General features: G+C 43.3%; 1 protein-coding gene and 1 long non-coding RNA gene across 11 annotated transcripts in view, besides 1 other annotated feature; one reads left to right on the plus strand and one right to left on the minus strand.

The window, feature by feature from the left end:
• Positions 1-1,229: 1,229 nt before the first annotated feature.
• The window catches only part of GALNT16-AS1 (GALNT16 and EXD2 antisense RNA 1), a 77,510-nt gene continuing 65,393 nt past the window's right edge, over positions 1,230-13,346 (minus strand). For both annotated transcript variants that reach the window (NR_184249.1, NR_184252.1), the window contains exon 4: positions 1,230-2,709. This is a non-coding gene — a long non-coding RNA (GALNT16 and EXD2 antisense RNA 1). The remainder of the gene's footprint in view (positions 2,710-13,346) is intronic.
• EXD2 (exonuclease 3'-5' domain containing 2) overlaps positions 9,710-13,346 on the plus strand; it is a 52,521-nt gene continuing 48,884 nt past the window's right edge. For 5 of the 9 annotated variants that reach the window (NR_034164.2, NM_001193360.2, XM_017021421.3 and 2 more), the window contains exon 1: positions 9,710-9,803. The gene's annotated coding sequence lies outside the window, so the exon portion shown is untranslated. Of the gene's footprint in view, positions 9,804-9,982; positions 10,252-13,346 lie in introns of those variants that run through there. The other 4 variants (NR_034165.2, NM_001193362.2, NM_001193363.2 and 1 more) reach the window with 1 other exon arrangement.
• Positions 9,931-10,120: a silencer, noted in NCBI's record as "silent region_5879". NCBI's record gives its function as "represses an Ori minimal core promoter by ATAC-STARR-seq in GM12878 lymphoblastoid cells {active_cell/tissue: GM12878}" and the evidence as "EXISTENCE:reporter gene assay evidence [ECO:0000049][PMID:35858748]".

Below are 13,346 nucleotides of genomic sequence, written 5' to 3' on the forward strand. Positions count from 1 at the left end.
AGTATTTAGAGATACAGCTTTGGACTGGAGATTTGAGAGTCATCATCCTACAAAAGAAAAAAATTCCAAACCTGGACTAGGATGCAATCTTTTTGCATGATGTAATTGAAAGCTTCCTTCTAGCAAGAAATTAGGATTTCTTGTAAAATGCCTACACAAATTTCTAATAAATTAATGGGATTAAAACTTCTAAGAAACCAGTCATCCACCCACTTACTTTTCAGTTAAGAGCCCAGTGAGTGACTTACCAAATAGTCTTTTCTTTTTTTTTTGAGACGGAGTCTCGCTCTGTCGCCCAGGCTGTAGTGCAGTGGTGTAATCTCGGCTCACTGTAAGCTCTGCCTCCTGGGTTCACGCCATTCTCCTGCCTCAGCCTCCTGAGTAGCTGGGAATACAGGTGCCTGCCACGACGCCCGGCTAATTTTTTGTATTTTTAGTGGAGACAGGGTTTCACCATGTTAGCCAGGATGGTCTCGATCTCCTGACCTCGTGATACGCCTGCCTCGGCCTCCCAAAGTGCTGCGATTACAGGCATGAGCCACCATGCCCGGCCTTTTTTTTTTTTTTTTTTTTTTTGAGGCAGTCTTGCTCTGTCGCCCAGGCTGGAGTGCAGTCGTGCAACCTCGGCTCACTGCAACCTCCACCTCCCAAGTTCAAGCAATTATCCTGCCTCAGCCTCCCAAGTGTCTGGGATTACAGGTGTGAGCCACTAGGTCTGGCTAATTTTTGCATTTTTAGTAGAGACAGGGGTTTCACCATCTTGGCCAGGTTGGTCTTGAACTCCTGACCTCAGGTGATCCACCCCCTCAGCCTCCCAAAGTGCTGGGATTACAGGTGTGTGCCACCACACCCAGCCTCTCTCTCTCCTCTCTTTTCTCTCTCTCTCTCTGTCTCTCCTGCACCCCCCACCTCTCTGACAGGGTCTTGCTCTGTTGCCCTGGCTGCAGTGCAGTGGTGCCATCATACATCACTGTAACCTCAAACTCCTAGGCTCAAGCAATCCTCCCACCTCAGCCTCCCTAGTAGCTGGGACTACAGGTGCACATCACCATGCCCCGTTAATTAGTTTTTTCTGTAGTGATGGGATCTTGCTATGTTGCTCAGGCTGGGCTCAAGCAATCCTCCTGCTTTGGCCTCCCAAAGTGCTGGGATTATAGGCATGAGCCTCTACACCCCACCTGAAATCAATGTTCTGAATAGAACAGTGAGAAAGGGAAGTCAACAGAAACTTCTCAGAACAGAATTTATTTGTATATCTAAAGACGATAATTATTTATGTTACTCTTAGTTTTCTACAAGTTAGAGTCTATCTCTTTAGAATTGTTAAATACCTCAAAGACAATGAAAGGTATAAACCCCACAGAATCTGATAAGTTGGAAAGGGATACTTAAAACAATGCAGTTTTCCATTTCTCAATAATCTTTTGGTCCATTTCAAAGTCTTTTAGACTTTCCCCCATATGCTACTATAGGCCTGCTCTTATACTATAGGCCTTGCTATGAGATGGTAATGAAATTTCTCCATAGGCTTATAGCAAAATTATCTGAAAAACTTTAACACTTGGCTTCTAACATTGGCTGCTGATTTAGGGGAGTTAAGCAGGAGTCTTGAAAGTAGGTACTTTCACTGAATTGGCATGTTTGTTATGGCATCCCATCCTTAACTAGACAAAGAACTACCTACCCTCTCCAGGGAATCAATCCTGAGTCTTTTGCACCAGGCAGTCATTTGGGAGCTGGGGAAGAAATCCAGTGGTCTAATGCTTCTGAAATAGACTTTGAACCAACTGTCCAATTTCAGCCCCCACTTTATCCCTGCTTCTGGGGGTACCTGGTGCTGCCAATTCTTGAACCTTTGGTGGTTCTCTGGGGCAAATCTGGCTTGCTTTTGGCTATCCCCTTTGATAGATGGCAAGTCTGCTAATTCAGCTCACACTATCCTCCTGCTTTCCAGCTTCCAAAATGTTAATAATTTGATCTCCTCTACTGTTCTCTGAGAGACGGATTATATAAACAGACAGTAGCCAGACCATATATGACAATAGAACTCTGACCCACAACCTCTGCAATTGGCCAGCCTGGGCAGGGCTTGGTCAATGAGTCAGCTTCCCTATATTTTGCCCCTATTTTCAACACAGGACCAACCAGAGAAAGCCAAACCATTACACAAGAAGCCCAGCCTCTAGTTAGCCCACCTGCAGTTTCCCCATGACAATGATCTCCAGTCAGAGCATACCGAAGCCTTCCCCTTTTTTCACTACAGCATAAAGTGTTTCCACTCCCTGCCTGCCTTCAAGTCTCACCAAAGTATAGTGGTATGGTGGCGGACTCCCAACGACAGCAGCCTCTGCATAAATATCCTCTCTTCTTATCTGAGTGGTTTTCATCATTTTCCTTATCTTTTTGATTTTGAAGTTTTATGTTAAAGCACTTTTTTTAAACCATTGTTCTAGAGGGATTTTAGAAGGAGGTGGGTTGTCTGTGGTTCAATCTATCAGCTTTAACTGGAGATCTCTTTCTGTGTTCTTTCCTCTGTGACTAGATGTCAGCTGTCCATCCTCTACCCTCCACCTCCAGCAGGCCCAGAAGTCACCTTTGTATTTTCCTCTTGCAAACCTGGATGCAAAATCCAATATGTATTCAAATTCCTCCAAAGAATCCGCTGGATCAAAAGGATTAGAGAATGACATAGACTTTGCTGAACCTTACCTGTGGAAGATAGAAGATGAAGTTAGGTAACATTCACAAACCCCGTAGCAACTTAAATTCAACTCCCCAAACATCTTAAACATTTCTTTCTCCCCTAAAGTCTCTCCTCTGTAGATATCTTCTTTGCAATAATTTTGGAGCCTTGCTGATTCCCTTCTCAATCTTTGATTGACTCACTGAGCTTTCTAATTCCTTATCCTTTTACCCTACAAAGCAATTCAGCTCGGCACCTCATTTTGCCCCAAACACACCACTTATTGCAGAAACAAAGTTCTCTAAACCACCAAAAACCCTTCTCATTTGCTAACAAACATTCTTTCTTGTGTTTCCAAGTAGCTCCAGAGCTTCTTGAGTGCACAGACAATAGCTATATATTTTATAGTCTGTATAGTACCTAATAATATTACCCAAATTTATAGAGGAAAGGAATCAGTGGGTAGAAAGCATGGATAGAATATCATCAGAAGGGCCGGGCGCGGTGGCTCATGCTTGTAATCCAGCACTTTGGGAGGCCAAAGCGGGTGGATCATGAGGTCAGGAGATCGAGACCATCCTGGCTAACGTGGTGAAATCCCGTCTCTACTAAAAATACAAAAAATTAGCCGGGCGTGGTGGCGGGCGCCTGTAGTCCCAGCTACTCGGGAGGCTGAGGCAGGAGAATGGCGTGAACCCGGGAGGCGGAGCTTGCAGTGAGCCGAGATCGCGCCACTGCACTCCAGCCTGGGTGACAGAGCAAGACTCCATCTCAAAAAAAGATTAAAAAAAATGAATATCATCGGAAGGGGCCAGGCACACTGGCTCACACCTGTAATCCCAGCACTTTAGAAGGCTGAGGTGGGAGGATTGCTTGAGGCTAGGAGTTTGAGACTAGCCTTGGCTGCACAGCAAGACCTTGTCTCTACTAAAAATTAAAAAATTAGTTGAGTGTGGTGGTGCACTCCTGCAGTCCCAGCTACTTGAGAGGCTGAGCGGGGAGGATTGCTTCAGCCCAGAAGTTTGAGGTTGCAGTGAACTAGGATCATGCCACTATACTTCATCCAGCCTGGGCAACAGAGCAAGACCCTGTTTCTTAAAAAAAAAAAAATCAATGGAAGGAAAGATTTTTCAGAAATAGTCTATCAGGCAGCGATTCCTCTAAATTTTGACCTCCATCATTATCTTCTACCTTTTTTGTGTATCTTCAGTGCTGGGCATTGTATTAAATAGGTTTTAGTTGACTGGTGTGGCATGCATTTATCATTAATATCTTTTGTTTTCCATATCAGTTAGGGATTGGATTCTACCACTAGTAACATTGACTGCAGTAGCTTAAGAAAATTAGAGGTTTATTTTCCCATGTAAAAGAAGTACAGGCTGAGTGTGGTGCCTCACACCTGTAATCCCAGCACTTTGGGAGGCCGAGGCAGGTGGATCACGAGGTCAGGAGTTCGAGACCAGCCTGGCCAATATGGTGAAACCCCGTCTCTACTAAAAATATAAAAAATTAGCCAGGTGGAGTGGCATGCACCTGTAGTCCTAGCTACTCAGGAGGGTGAGGCAGGAGAACCACTTGAACCTGGGAGGCAGAGGTTGCAGTGAGCCGATATCGTGCTACTGCACTCCAGCCTGGGCAACAGAATGAGACTCCATCTCAAAAAAAAAAAAAAGTTCAAAGTTCAGAGGTAGGTTGCTCAGGGTTAGTATGGAAACTACAGAAGGCATCAGGGATCCAGGCTACATCTACCTCTCCACTCCGTCTTCCTAAGCACCTGGATTTCATTTTAAATTGCCACTGTGATGGCAGAGAACTGTTGGAGATTCAGCTATCAGGTCTTAGTATAAGCAAGGAAGAAGGGGAAGGGCAATGACAAAAGGCAAAAGAGGCCTTGTGGGAGTTGTCTCTCCCCTCATTATTTATGAGACAGAATCTCTGTCTACCAGGCTAGAGTGCAGTGGCCCAGTCATGGCTCACTGGCAGCCTTGCCCTCCCTGGCTCAAGCAATCCTTCCACCTTGGCCTTCCAAGTAACTGGGACTACAGGCACAAACTACCATGCCCAGCTAATTTTTTACTCTTTTGTAGAAACGGGGTATCCCTATGTTGCCCAGCCTGGTCTTGAACTCCTGGGCTCAAGTGATCCTCCTGTCTTGGCCTCTCAAAGTGCTGGGATTACAGGTGTGGGCCATCACACCCAGCTCTGTCCTCTTCATCCCCTTTTTCTTTTCTTTCTTTCTTTTTTTTTTTTTTTTTGAGACAGAGTCTCTCGCTCTGTCACTCAGGCTGGAGTGCAGTAGTGCAATCTCAGCTCACTGCAACCTCTGCCTCCCAGGTTCAAGTGATTCTCATGCTCCAGCTTCCCAAGTAGCTTGGATTACAGGTATGTGCCACCACATCCAGCTAATTTTTGAATTTTTAGTAGAGATGGGGTTTCACCATGTTGGTGGTCTTGAACTCCTGACCTCAAGTGATCCGCCCGCCTTGGACTTTCAAAGTGCTGGGATTACAGGAATAAGCCACCGCGCCCAGCCTGTCACCTTTTTAGAAACATTACCAAAAGTCCCATGCAAAAACTTTTGCTTATAACTAATTAGCCAGAACTTAGTCACATGGCCACACCTACTCCTAATGAAGACAGAAAATTGTATTTTGTAAATGCAATTGTTTAATGCCCCCTAAGTGGAAAGGGAGAATGCATACTAGGTGGGCAACCAGCACTTCCGGCCACAGTTCCTCGTGAATTTTCTGCACATGATGTCCCATGAATCCCTAGCCCAGTGCTTGACATTAAGTTGTCCTTGGAATGAATAAACAAATGAATAAAGTATTTTAGATAGTTCACACAATAACCTTTTTTAAAAAAAATTAATTGACTTTATTTCTAGAGCAGTTTTAGGTTTACAGAAAATTTGAACAGAATGTGCAGAGAGCTCCCACATACCTCCCCTCACCACATGCAGTTGCAGTTTCATCTATTATTGACATCTTGCACGGGTATTGTACATTTGCTACAAAATTATATTGATACCTTATTAGCCAAAGTTTATAGTTTACATTAGAGTTCACTCATCATGTTGCACAGTTCCACACGTTTTGACAAATGCCTAATGTCATGTATCCACCATTACTGTATCACACAGAATAGTTTCACTGGCCTAAAAATCCCCTTGCTCCAGCTATTCCGCCTTTCCTCCTCCCCTGGAATCCCTGGCAACCATTGATCTTTTTACTATCTCTACAGCTTTGCCTTTTCCAAAATGTCATACTGTTGGAACCATACGGTATGTAGCCATGGCAGACTGACCTCTTTCACTTAGCAATATACATTTAAGGTTTCTCCATGTTATTTTTTGCAGCTTGATAACTTCTTTCTTTTTAGTTCTGAATAATATTCCATTGTAAGGATGTACCAGTTTGGTTATTCTTTCACCTACTGAAAGACATCTTGGTTGTTTCCAGCTTATAAATAAACCTGCTGTCAACATTCATGTGCAAGTTTATGTGTGGTCCTAAGTTTTCAACTCATTTTGGTAAATACCCAAGGGTGTGGCTGCTGGATTGCATGCTGAGACTATCTTTACCTTTATAGGAAACTGCCAAACTGTCTTCAGAAGTGGCTATACCATTTTGCATTCCCAACAGCAATGAATGAGAGTTCCTGTTGCTCCACATCCTTAGCAGAATTTGGTGTTGGCAGTGTTTTGGATTTTAGCCATTGTTTAACCTCCGCCCCCAAGACTCAAGCGATCCTCCCACAACTGCCTCCCGAGTAGCTGGGACCACAGGTGTGTGCCACCACACCCAGCTAATTTTCGTATTTTGGGTAGAGGTGGAGTTTTGCCATGTTGCCCAGAGTGGTCTCAAACTCCTAGGCTCAAGTGATCCACATGCCTAAGTCTCTCAAAGTGCTGGGATTACAGACGTAATTTCCAAGTACACGGAGTTTTAAAAATAATCCTTTCTTTCCCTTCCTTCCTTCCTTCCTTCCTCCCTTCCTTCCTTCCTTCTTCCCTCTCTCCCTCTTTCTTTCTCTCTCTTTCGTTCTCTCTCTCTCTCTTTTTTTTTTTTTTGATGGAGCCTCGCTCTGTTGCCCATGCTGGAATGCATTGGCACGATCTCGGCTTACTGCAACCTCCGTTTCCCCAGTTCAAGCAGTTCTCCTGCCTCAGTCTCCCAAGTAGCTGGGTTTACAGGCATCGGCCACTGTGCCTGGCTAATTTTTGTATTTTTAGTAGAGACAGGGTTTCACCGTGTTGGCCAGGCTGGTCTTGAACTCCTGACCTCAGGTGATCCTCCTGCCTCAGCCTCCCAAACTGCTGGGATTACAGGCATGAGCCACCGCACCCAGCTTCATGATTGATTTCTAACTTAATTGCAATGTAGTCAGAGAATGTGATCTGTATGATAGCAATTTTTTGCAATTTGTAAAAAGTTGCTCAATAGCCTACATTTTTAAAAATTATTTGATTTTAAAAACAGCAACCAGTTAGATAATCAATGGCCTAAATCAAAATTAATTTTCTTAAATCTTCCCTGTAAATGTGAAAAGTATATTTGAGAACAATTTGTGTTTTCACATCGTTGAGGACATAGTTCTTTTCTTTGTCTTCCTCAGGAATGGAGGGTTCTTTACATAGTTCTATACATGCTCCTTAGAAAAGGTTAATTAATTATGTCAGACATTCCCATAATGACTGGTGATTCTTGGATGTCTTCTCATATTTAAAAGTGAGAAACTGTATTTTAAAAGCTGATTAGAAATTCTGTATGCACAGATGAGTCTTGTTGACTGGGCCTTAATGTAGAGTGATTGCTTGTGAACCCAGACAGTTCTTTATGAAATCCTCCAAATGTCAATATTCTGCTATTCTTTTTGTTTTTAATTATTAATTTTTGTGGGCACACAGTAGATGTACATATTTATGGGGTACATGAGATATTTTGATACAAGCATACAATGTATCTGCCATTCTAATCTAATTTCTATCTTTTAAAATTGTATCTTTTTTTTTAGTTTGGTACTATGTCCTTTCCTGTTCTTTCTTCTTTGGGTTAACAAACTTTTCACTCCTTTACTATCATTTTTAAAAACCCTTTTATCGAAGTATATATGAAACCAGAAAAGTGCTCACAAATATAACCTGAACACACATGTAAAGCCGCACTCAGATTAAGAAATAGAACATTATCAGCACTTCGTGAACCTCCTCATGTTCCCTTCCAGTTATTACTACCCTAAGATTAATCATTATATACAGTGACTTCTAATAGCAGGGATATTTGGGTAGTTTCCCGTTTGGGGCTGTTGAAAGTATGGGTATGAGCTTTTTTTTGTACATGTCCTTTTGGTGAATACATGCAGACATTTCAGTTGCATATATATAACTAGGAGTAAAATTGTTTTTTGTTGTTTTTGTTTTCGAGACAGGGTCTAGCTCTGTCACCTATGCTGGACTGCAGTGGTGTGATCACAACTCACTGCAGCCTCAAACTCCAGGGATCAAGACGTCCTCCTGCCTAAGCTTCTGGAGTAGCTGGGACTACAGGTGCACACCATGATGCCCAGCACTTTGGGAGGCCGAGGTGGGAGGATCGCTTGAGGCCAGGAGTTCAAGACCAGCCTGGGCAACACAGTGAAAATCCCTAAAGTGCTGGGATGACACGTTGAGCCACTGTGCCCCAGCTAGGGGTGAAATTGTTGGAACAAAGTCTTTTCACATATTCAGATTCAGTTGATACCGCCAAACAGTTAAACAAAGTGATTGCATCAATTTATGTTCCCTTCAGGAGCATATGAGAGTTGTGGTTGCTCCACAATCTTGCCAATACTTGACATTTTCTTTTTCATTTAGCTATATCTCATTGTGGTTTTAATTTGCATTTCCTCTTTATCCTTTGTTTTTTAAGTGTTTCAAGATGGAGCAGATAAAAATTCAGGGAGTTAATCCTCTATAATAGCTGGAAATTTCCCCCATGGGTACTCATTCAATGGAATTTAAAACATTTGCCCCTGTATTGAAGGCAATATAGTATAAAGGATGGGGCCACATGCTCTGCAATCAGAAATATGAGGTTTGATTCCTAACTCCGGTGCTTACTTGCTGAATTACCTTGAGGAAGTTATTTAACCTTTTTCTATTTTATGTAAAACGGCACTAATAATAGTACTGCCTCACAGGGTTGTTATGGGGATTAAAGGAGAAAAAATAAGTAAAATGCTTTGCAAAGTTCCTAGCAACAGGTGAGCACAAAGTCAACAAATGGTAGCTATTATTATACCTTATATTGGTTATTTATGCACATCTCATTTCTCCTTCTGTTTTACACATTCCATGAGAAAGGAAAAGCATGCATGTAGCACAGATTAACTGCCTCACATATAATTGCTAATAAAGACTGATTGGATGAACGATTTAATATATAAACAAAAAGTATTGTGGTTATCGCTATAAAAGATGGCATAGGTTGGGCATTCACGCCTGTAATCCCAGCACTTTGGGAGGCCGAGTTGTGAGGTTCGCTTGAGCCCAGGAGTTCGAGACCAGCCTAGGCAATGTAGGGAGACAGTATCTACAAAAAAAAAAAAAAAAAAAAAAAAGGAGGGTACATAAAATTATTATAGTGGCTATAGGATAATGTGCACTGCTAATGAAGACTACATTATTTAAATACAGTGTCTTTCCTTCTATTTACTGTTATCGTTTAGCAGAAAAACAGTACGCAGGATACTAAAGAAGGAAAATTCGATGTCCCATATTACATTTGTGAGAGTTCTGGAGGTTTCTCCCTTCAAAGCCAAAACCAAAACACAAACATACCATCCCAGTAACAAATGCGTCACTTTTCTGAAGAAGACGTTAAGCCCTTCCAATTTTAACAGATCCTTTGTTCAACAGAGGAGAGAGACTGGGTAGGCATCACCTGCCCCAGTAGCTTCCGTACAAAATGGCGTTGCCCGTTCCCACACGCCAGCTGGGATTACGTCCTCCAGGCCTGTCGCAGGAACGGAAGTGGTTACGGCCCTAGTGAATCCGGGTGGGTGCGCGCAGGCGGCCGCACAGGTTCCAGGTCTTTAACGTGAGCCCGCTGCAGGTGTGCGGCCCAGTCCGAGACAGCAGGTAAGTGAGGCTCAGAAGCCGGCGAAGCCTTGCACCAGGATTGTGCGCGGGGCAGGGGGTGCTTCCAGTGCAGACTAAGAGGGGTCGTGGAGCGGGGGGATATTACCGTGTACGGGGGTGACATTGCGGGGCCCCCGCTGTCCCGGAGCGAGTTGGCCCTGCCCCTCTCCCCGCCCCTCGGCGTGACCCCCTCGCCCCCGTCGCACACGGCGGGGCGGTTCAGCACCCAGGTGCGCAAGGAGGGCCTCACCCCTGCCCGCGGCCTCCCACGCCCTCCTTGGGCCTCTCCTTTCGACCCCCTTACCCTCTCCCTGGGAGACTCTACCAGACCTTCGAGGCTGCGTGTCCCAGTCAGCTAAAAAGGAGGCCCCGCCCGCGGCACCTGGTAGCTCCTCGGGCGCTGCGGGTTCGACGCGGCAACAGCTGCTGTTTTCTCTCCTGGATTCGTGTGAGCCGCCACCCTCGCTACCATCCCTGTCCTCCCAGACCACACCCTGCTCTGGGCCTTGCCGGGAGCCACCTCTTTGGCTTTTCACATCCCTGGGATGGATCAAAACTAAGAACCTTAATCATTATTTATTACAAAATTGACATCTGCTCCTTAAAATACAAACAAACCAATCCCCCGATAAGCTTTTGATATGATTCCAACATTCAAACTCCTTTATATACCCTCTCCTCAAAAACACAAAATTGAAATTATACTTTATTTTCTTAGTTCTGTTCCAAGGATAGAAGGAATTGAAAGGTTTTGTTAATCATAGGAATTAGGAAGTGCGGGTTGGGGCGCAGCGGGGAAGATGGATTAAATTTGGTCAAGTTGAGCTTGTTTTAAAAATGTATTTTTAAAATATTCTAGTTATAGTCCGTGCATAAAGCCTTGTAACAAAATTATGTAAAAATTTTAAACACAGATCTTTCTTAGCTTGATGTTCTTGGTGGTGAGGGTGGGGAGTGTGGAAGACAGATCCTCTTTGATTTTGTTTTTTTCCATCTCCACCTTCTTTACCAGTCCCTTTCCCACAAAATAAGAACTGTTGTCAGTTTGTGTGTATTTTTCTTTGCATTTATTTGACAAGTATGTGTACGTATAAGATATATGTTTGTAAGATTTCGCTTTAAACTTTTACAAATATGCATGTTTTATGCATTACACAACTTGACGTTTTATGCTTAAAAACGGGTCTTGGAATTTTTTCTTTGTCAGTACCTAGAGATCTACCTATTCTTTCTACTTGCTCTGTAAATTCCATGGTTATGTAAGATTCCATAGATTGTTTCCAGTTTTTCATTGTTAGACACAGTATGGCGGAGAACATCCTTCCCACACACCTCTGTGAGAGCCCATGTGAGAGCATTTCTCAAGGATGGGTACCTGCAGGTGGAATTGCTGGGTGGGAGAGTATGGGGATTTAGGAATGCCAAACTGCCACCCACGGTGGATAATAATTTCCTCCATTCTCTCTCTCTTTTTTTTTTTTTTTTGAGACAGAGTCTTGCTCTGTTGCCCAGGTTGGAGTGCAGTGGCGTGATCTCAGCTCACTGCAGCCTCTGCCTCCCAGGTTCAAGCGATTCTCCTGCCTCAGCCTCCCGAGTAGCTGGTATTACAGGCACCCGCTACCACGCCTGGCTAATTTTTGTATTTTTAGTAGAGACGGGGTTTCACCGTATTTGCCAGGCTGGTCTCAAACTCCTAAACTCGAGTGATCCGCCTGCCTTGGCCTCCCGAAGTGATGGGATTACAGGCGTGAGCCACCGTGTCTGGCCCACCATGCTCTTTTGATCATTTAATGGTATCGATCTTTTTTGTTTTTGCCAATCTGATGGATGGAAAAGTGATTTCTCTTTGCTGTTTTAATTTGCATTCCCCTGATTACTATTGAGATTGAACATCTTCATGATTGTCAGCCATTTGTATTTCCTCTTTTGAGAAACATCTCTTTCTATTGGATTGTCTTTTCCTTATTGATTTATAATAGTATTTTATATGTTCTGGATTTTGATCTTTTGTTATTCATATGTGTTTATAATATTTACTCCCTGCTTATTGCTTTTTTAAGTTGTTGCTTGTCTTTTAACTATATGGCATCTTTGTTGAAACAAAGTTTAAAATTTTAGGTTTTAATTTATCAGTCTGTTATGTGTGTGTTTGTATTTTGTGGCTATCATTCCCAATCCGAGTGGTTCTTAAATGGCAGAGATTTTTGCTCTCGGGGTTATTTGGCAATGTCTGTAAACATTTTTTGTTTGTTCCACTAGGATGGTGCTGCTATTGGTTATCTAGTGAGTAAAAGCGAGGGTGCTGCTAAACATCCTACAGCGCACGGGAAAGCTTCCCACAACAAAGAATTTCACCAGCCAAAAATGTCAGTTGTGCTGAAGTTGAAAAATCCTTCTCTACTTTTAGAGAGAGGAGGGTTTTCTCCTAAAGCTCTGTTTTCTCCTTGAAGTTCTTCTTGTGGGAATAGTTTTTTTTCTTTAATTCCTCTGGAATTGTGTGTGTGTGATTGTTGTTTTCCAAATACTGTCACCTCGAACAGTCAGTCCATTCTTTTTTTTTTTTTTGAGTCAGAGTCTCGCTGTGTCGCCCAGGCTGGAGTGCAGTGGCGCGATCTCAGCTCACTGCAACCTCTGCCTCCCGAGTTCATGCCATTCTCCTGCCTCAGCCTCCCAAGTAGCTGGGACTACAGGCGCCCACCACCTCGCTTGGCTAATTTTTTGTATTTTTAGTAGAGATGGGGTTTCACCGTGTTTGCTAGGATGGTCTCGATCTCCTGACCTCGTGATCCACCTGCCTCGGCCTCCCAAAGTGCTGGGATTACAGGTGTGAGCCACCGCGCCCGGCCTAGTCAGTCCATTCTTGAACCATTAATCCGAAATGCCACACTTACCATGTACTAATTTCTTTTTTTTCTTTTTAATTTTTATTTGTAGAGATAGAGATGAGTTTTTGCTATGTTGTTCAGGCTGGTCTCAAACTCCTGGCCTCAGGAGATTCTCCCCCATCAGCCTCCCAAAGTTCTGGAATTATGGACATGAGCCACCTCGCCTGGCCTCATGTGCTCATTTATCATACAGGATCTGTTTCTAGACTGTCTTCTGTTCTATGGCATACTTTTCTATTTTGCTGGACCAATACCACAACATCCTATATTAAACTATATGTTATATGTTGACATTAATAGGGTAAATACTCCATCATGATTATTATTTTATTGGAAGTCATATACTATATCAGCTCATGTACTCTCATTTAAAAAACAATATTTTTGGTTATTATTAGTTTCTTTTCCAGATTAATTTTACAGTCAACTTGTCAATTATTTTTTTCTTTTAAGAGATGGGAGCCGGGCGCGGTGGCTTACGCCTGTAATCCCAGCACTTTGGGTGGTTGAGACGGGCGGATCACCAGGTCAAGAGTTTGAGACCAGCCTGACCAACATGGTGAAACCCAGTCTCTACTAAAAATACAAAAATTAGCCGGGCGTGATGGTGTGCGCCTGTAATCCCAGCTACTCAGGAGGCTGAGGCAGGAAAATCACT

The sequence above is a fragment of the Homo sapiens genome, chromosome 14 (genome assembly GCF_000001405.40).
Source record: "Homo sapiens chromosome 14, GRCh38.p14 Primary Assembly".
Taxonomy (NCBI): domain Eukaryota; kingdom Metazoa; phylum Chordata; class Mammalia; order Primates; family Hominidae; genus Homo; species Homo sapiens.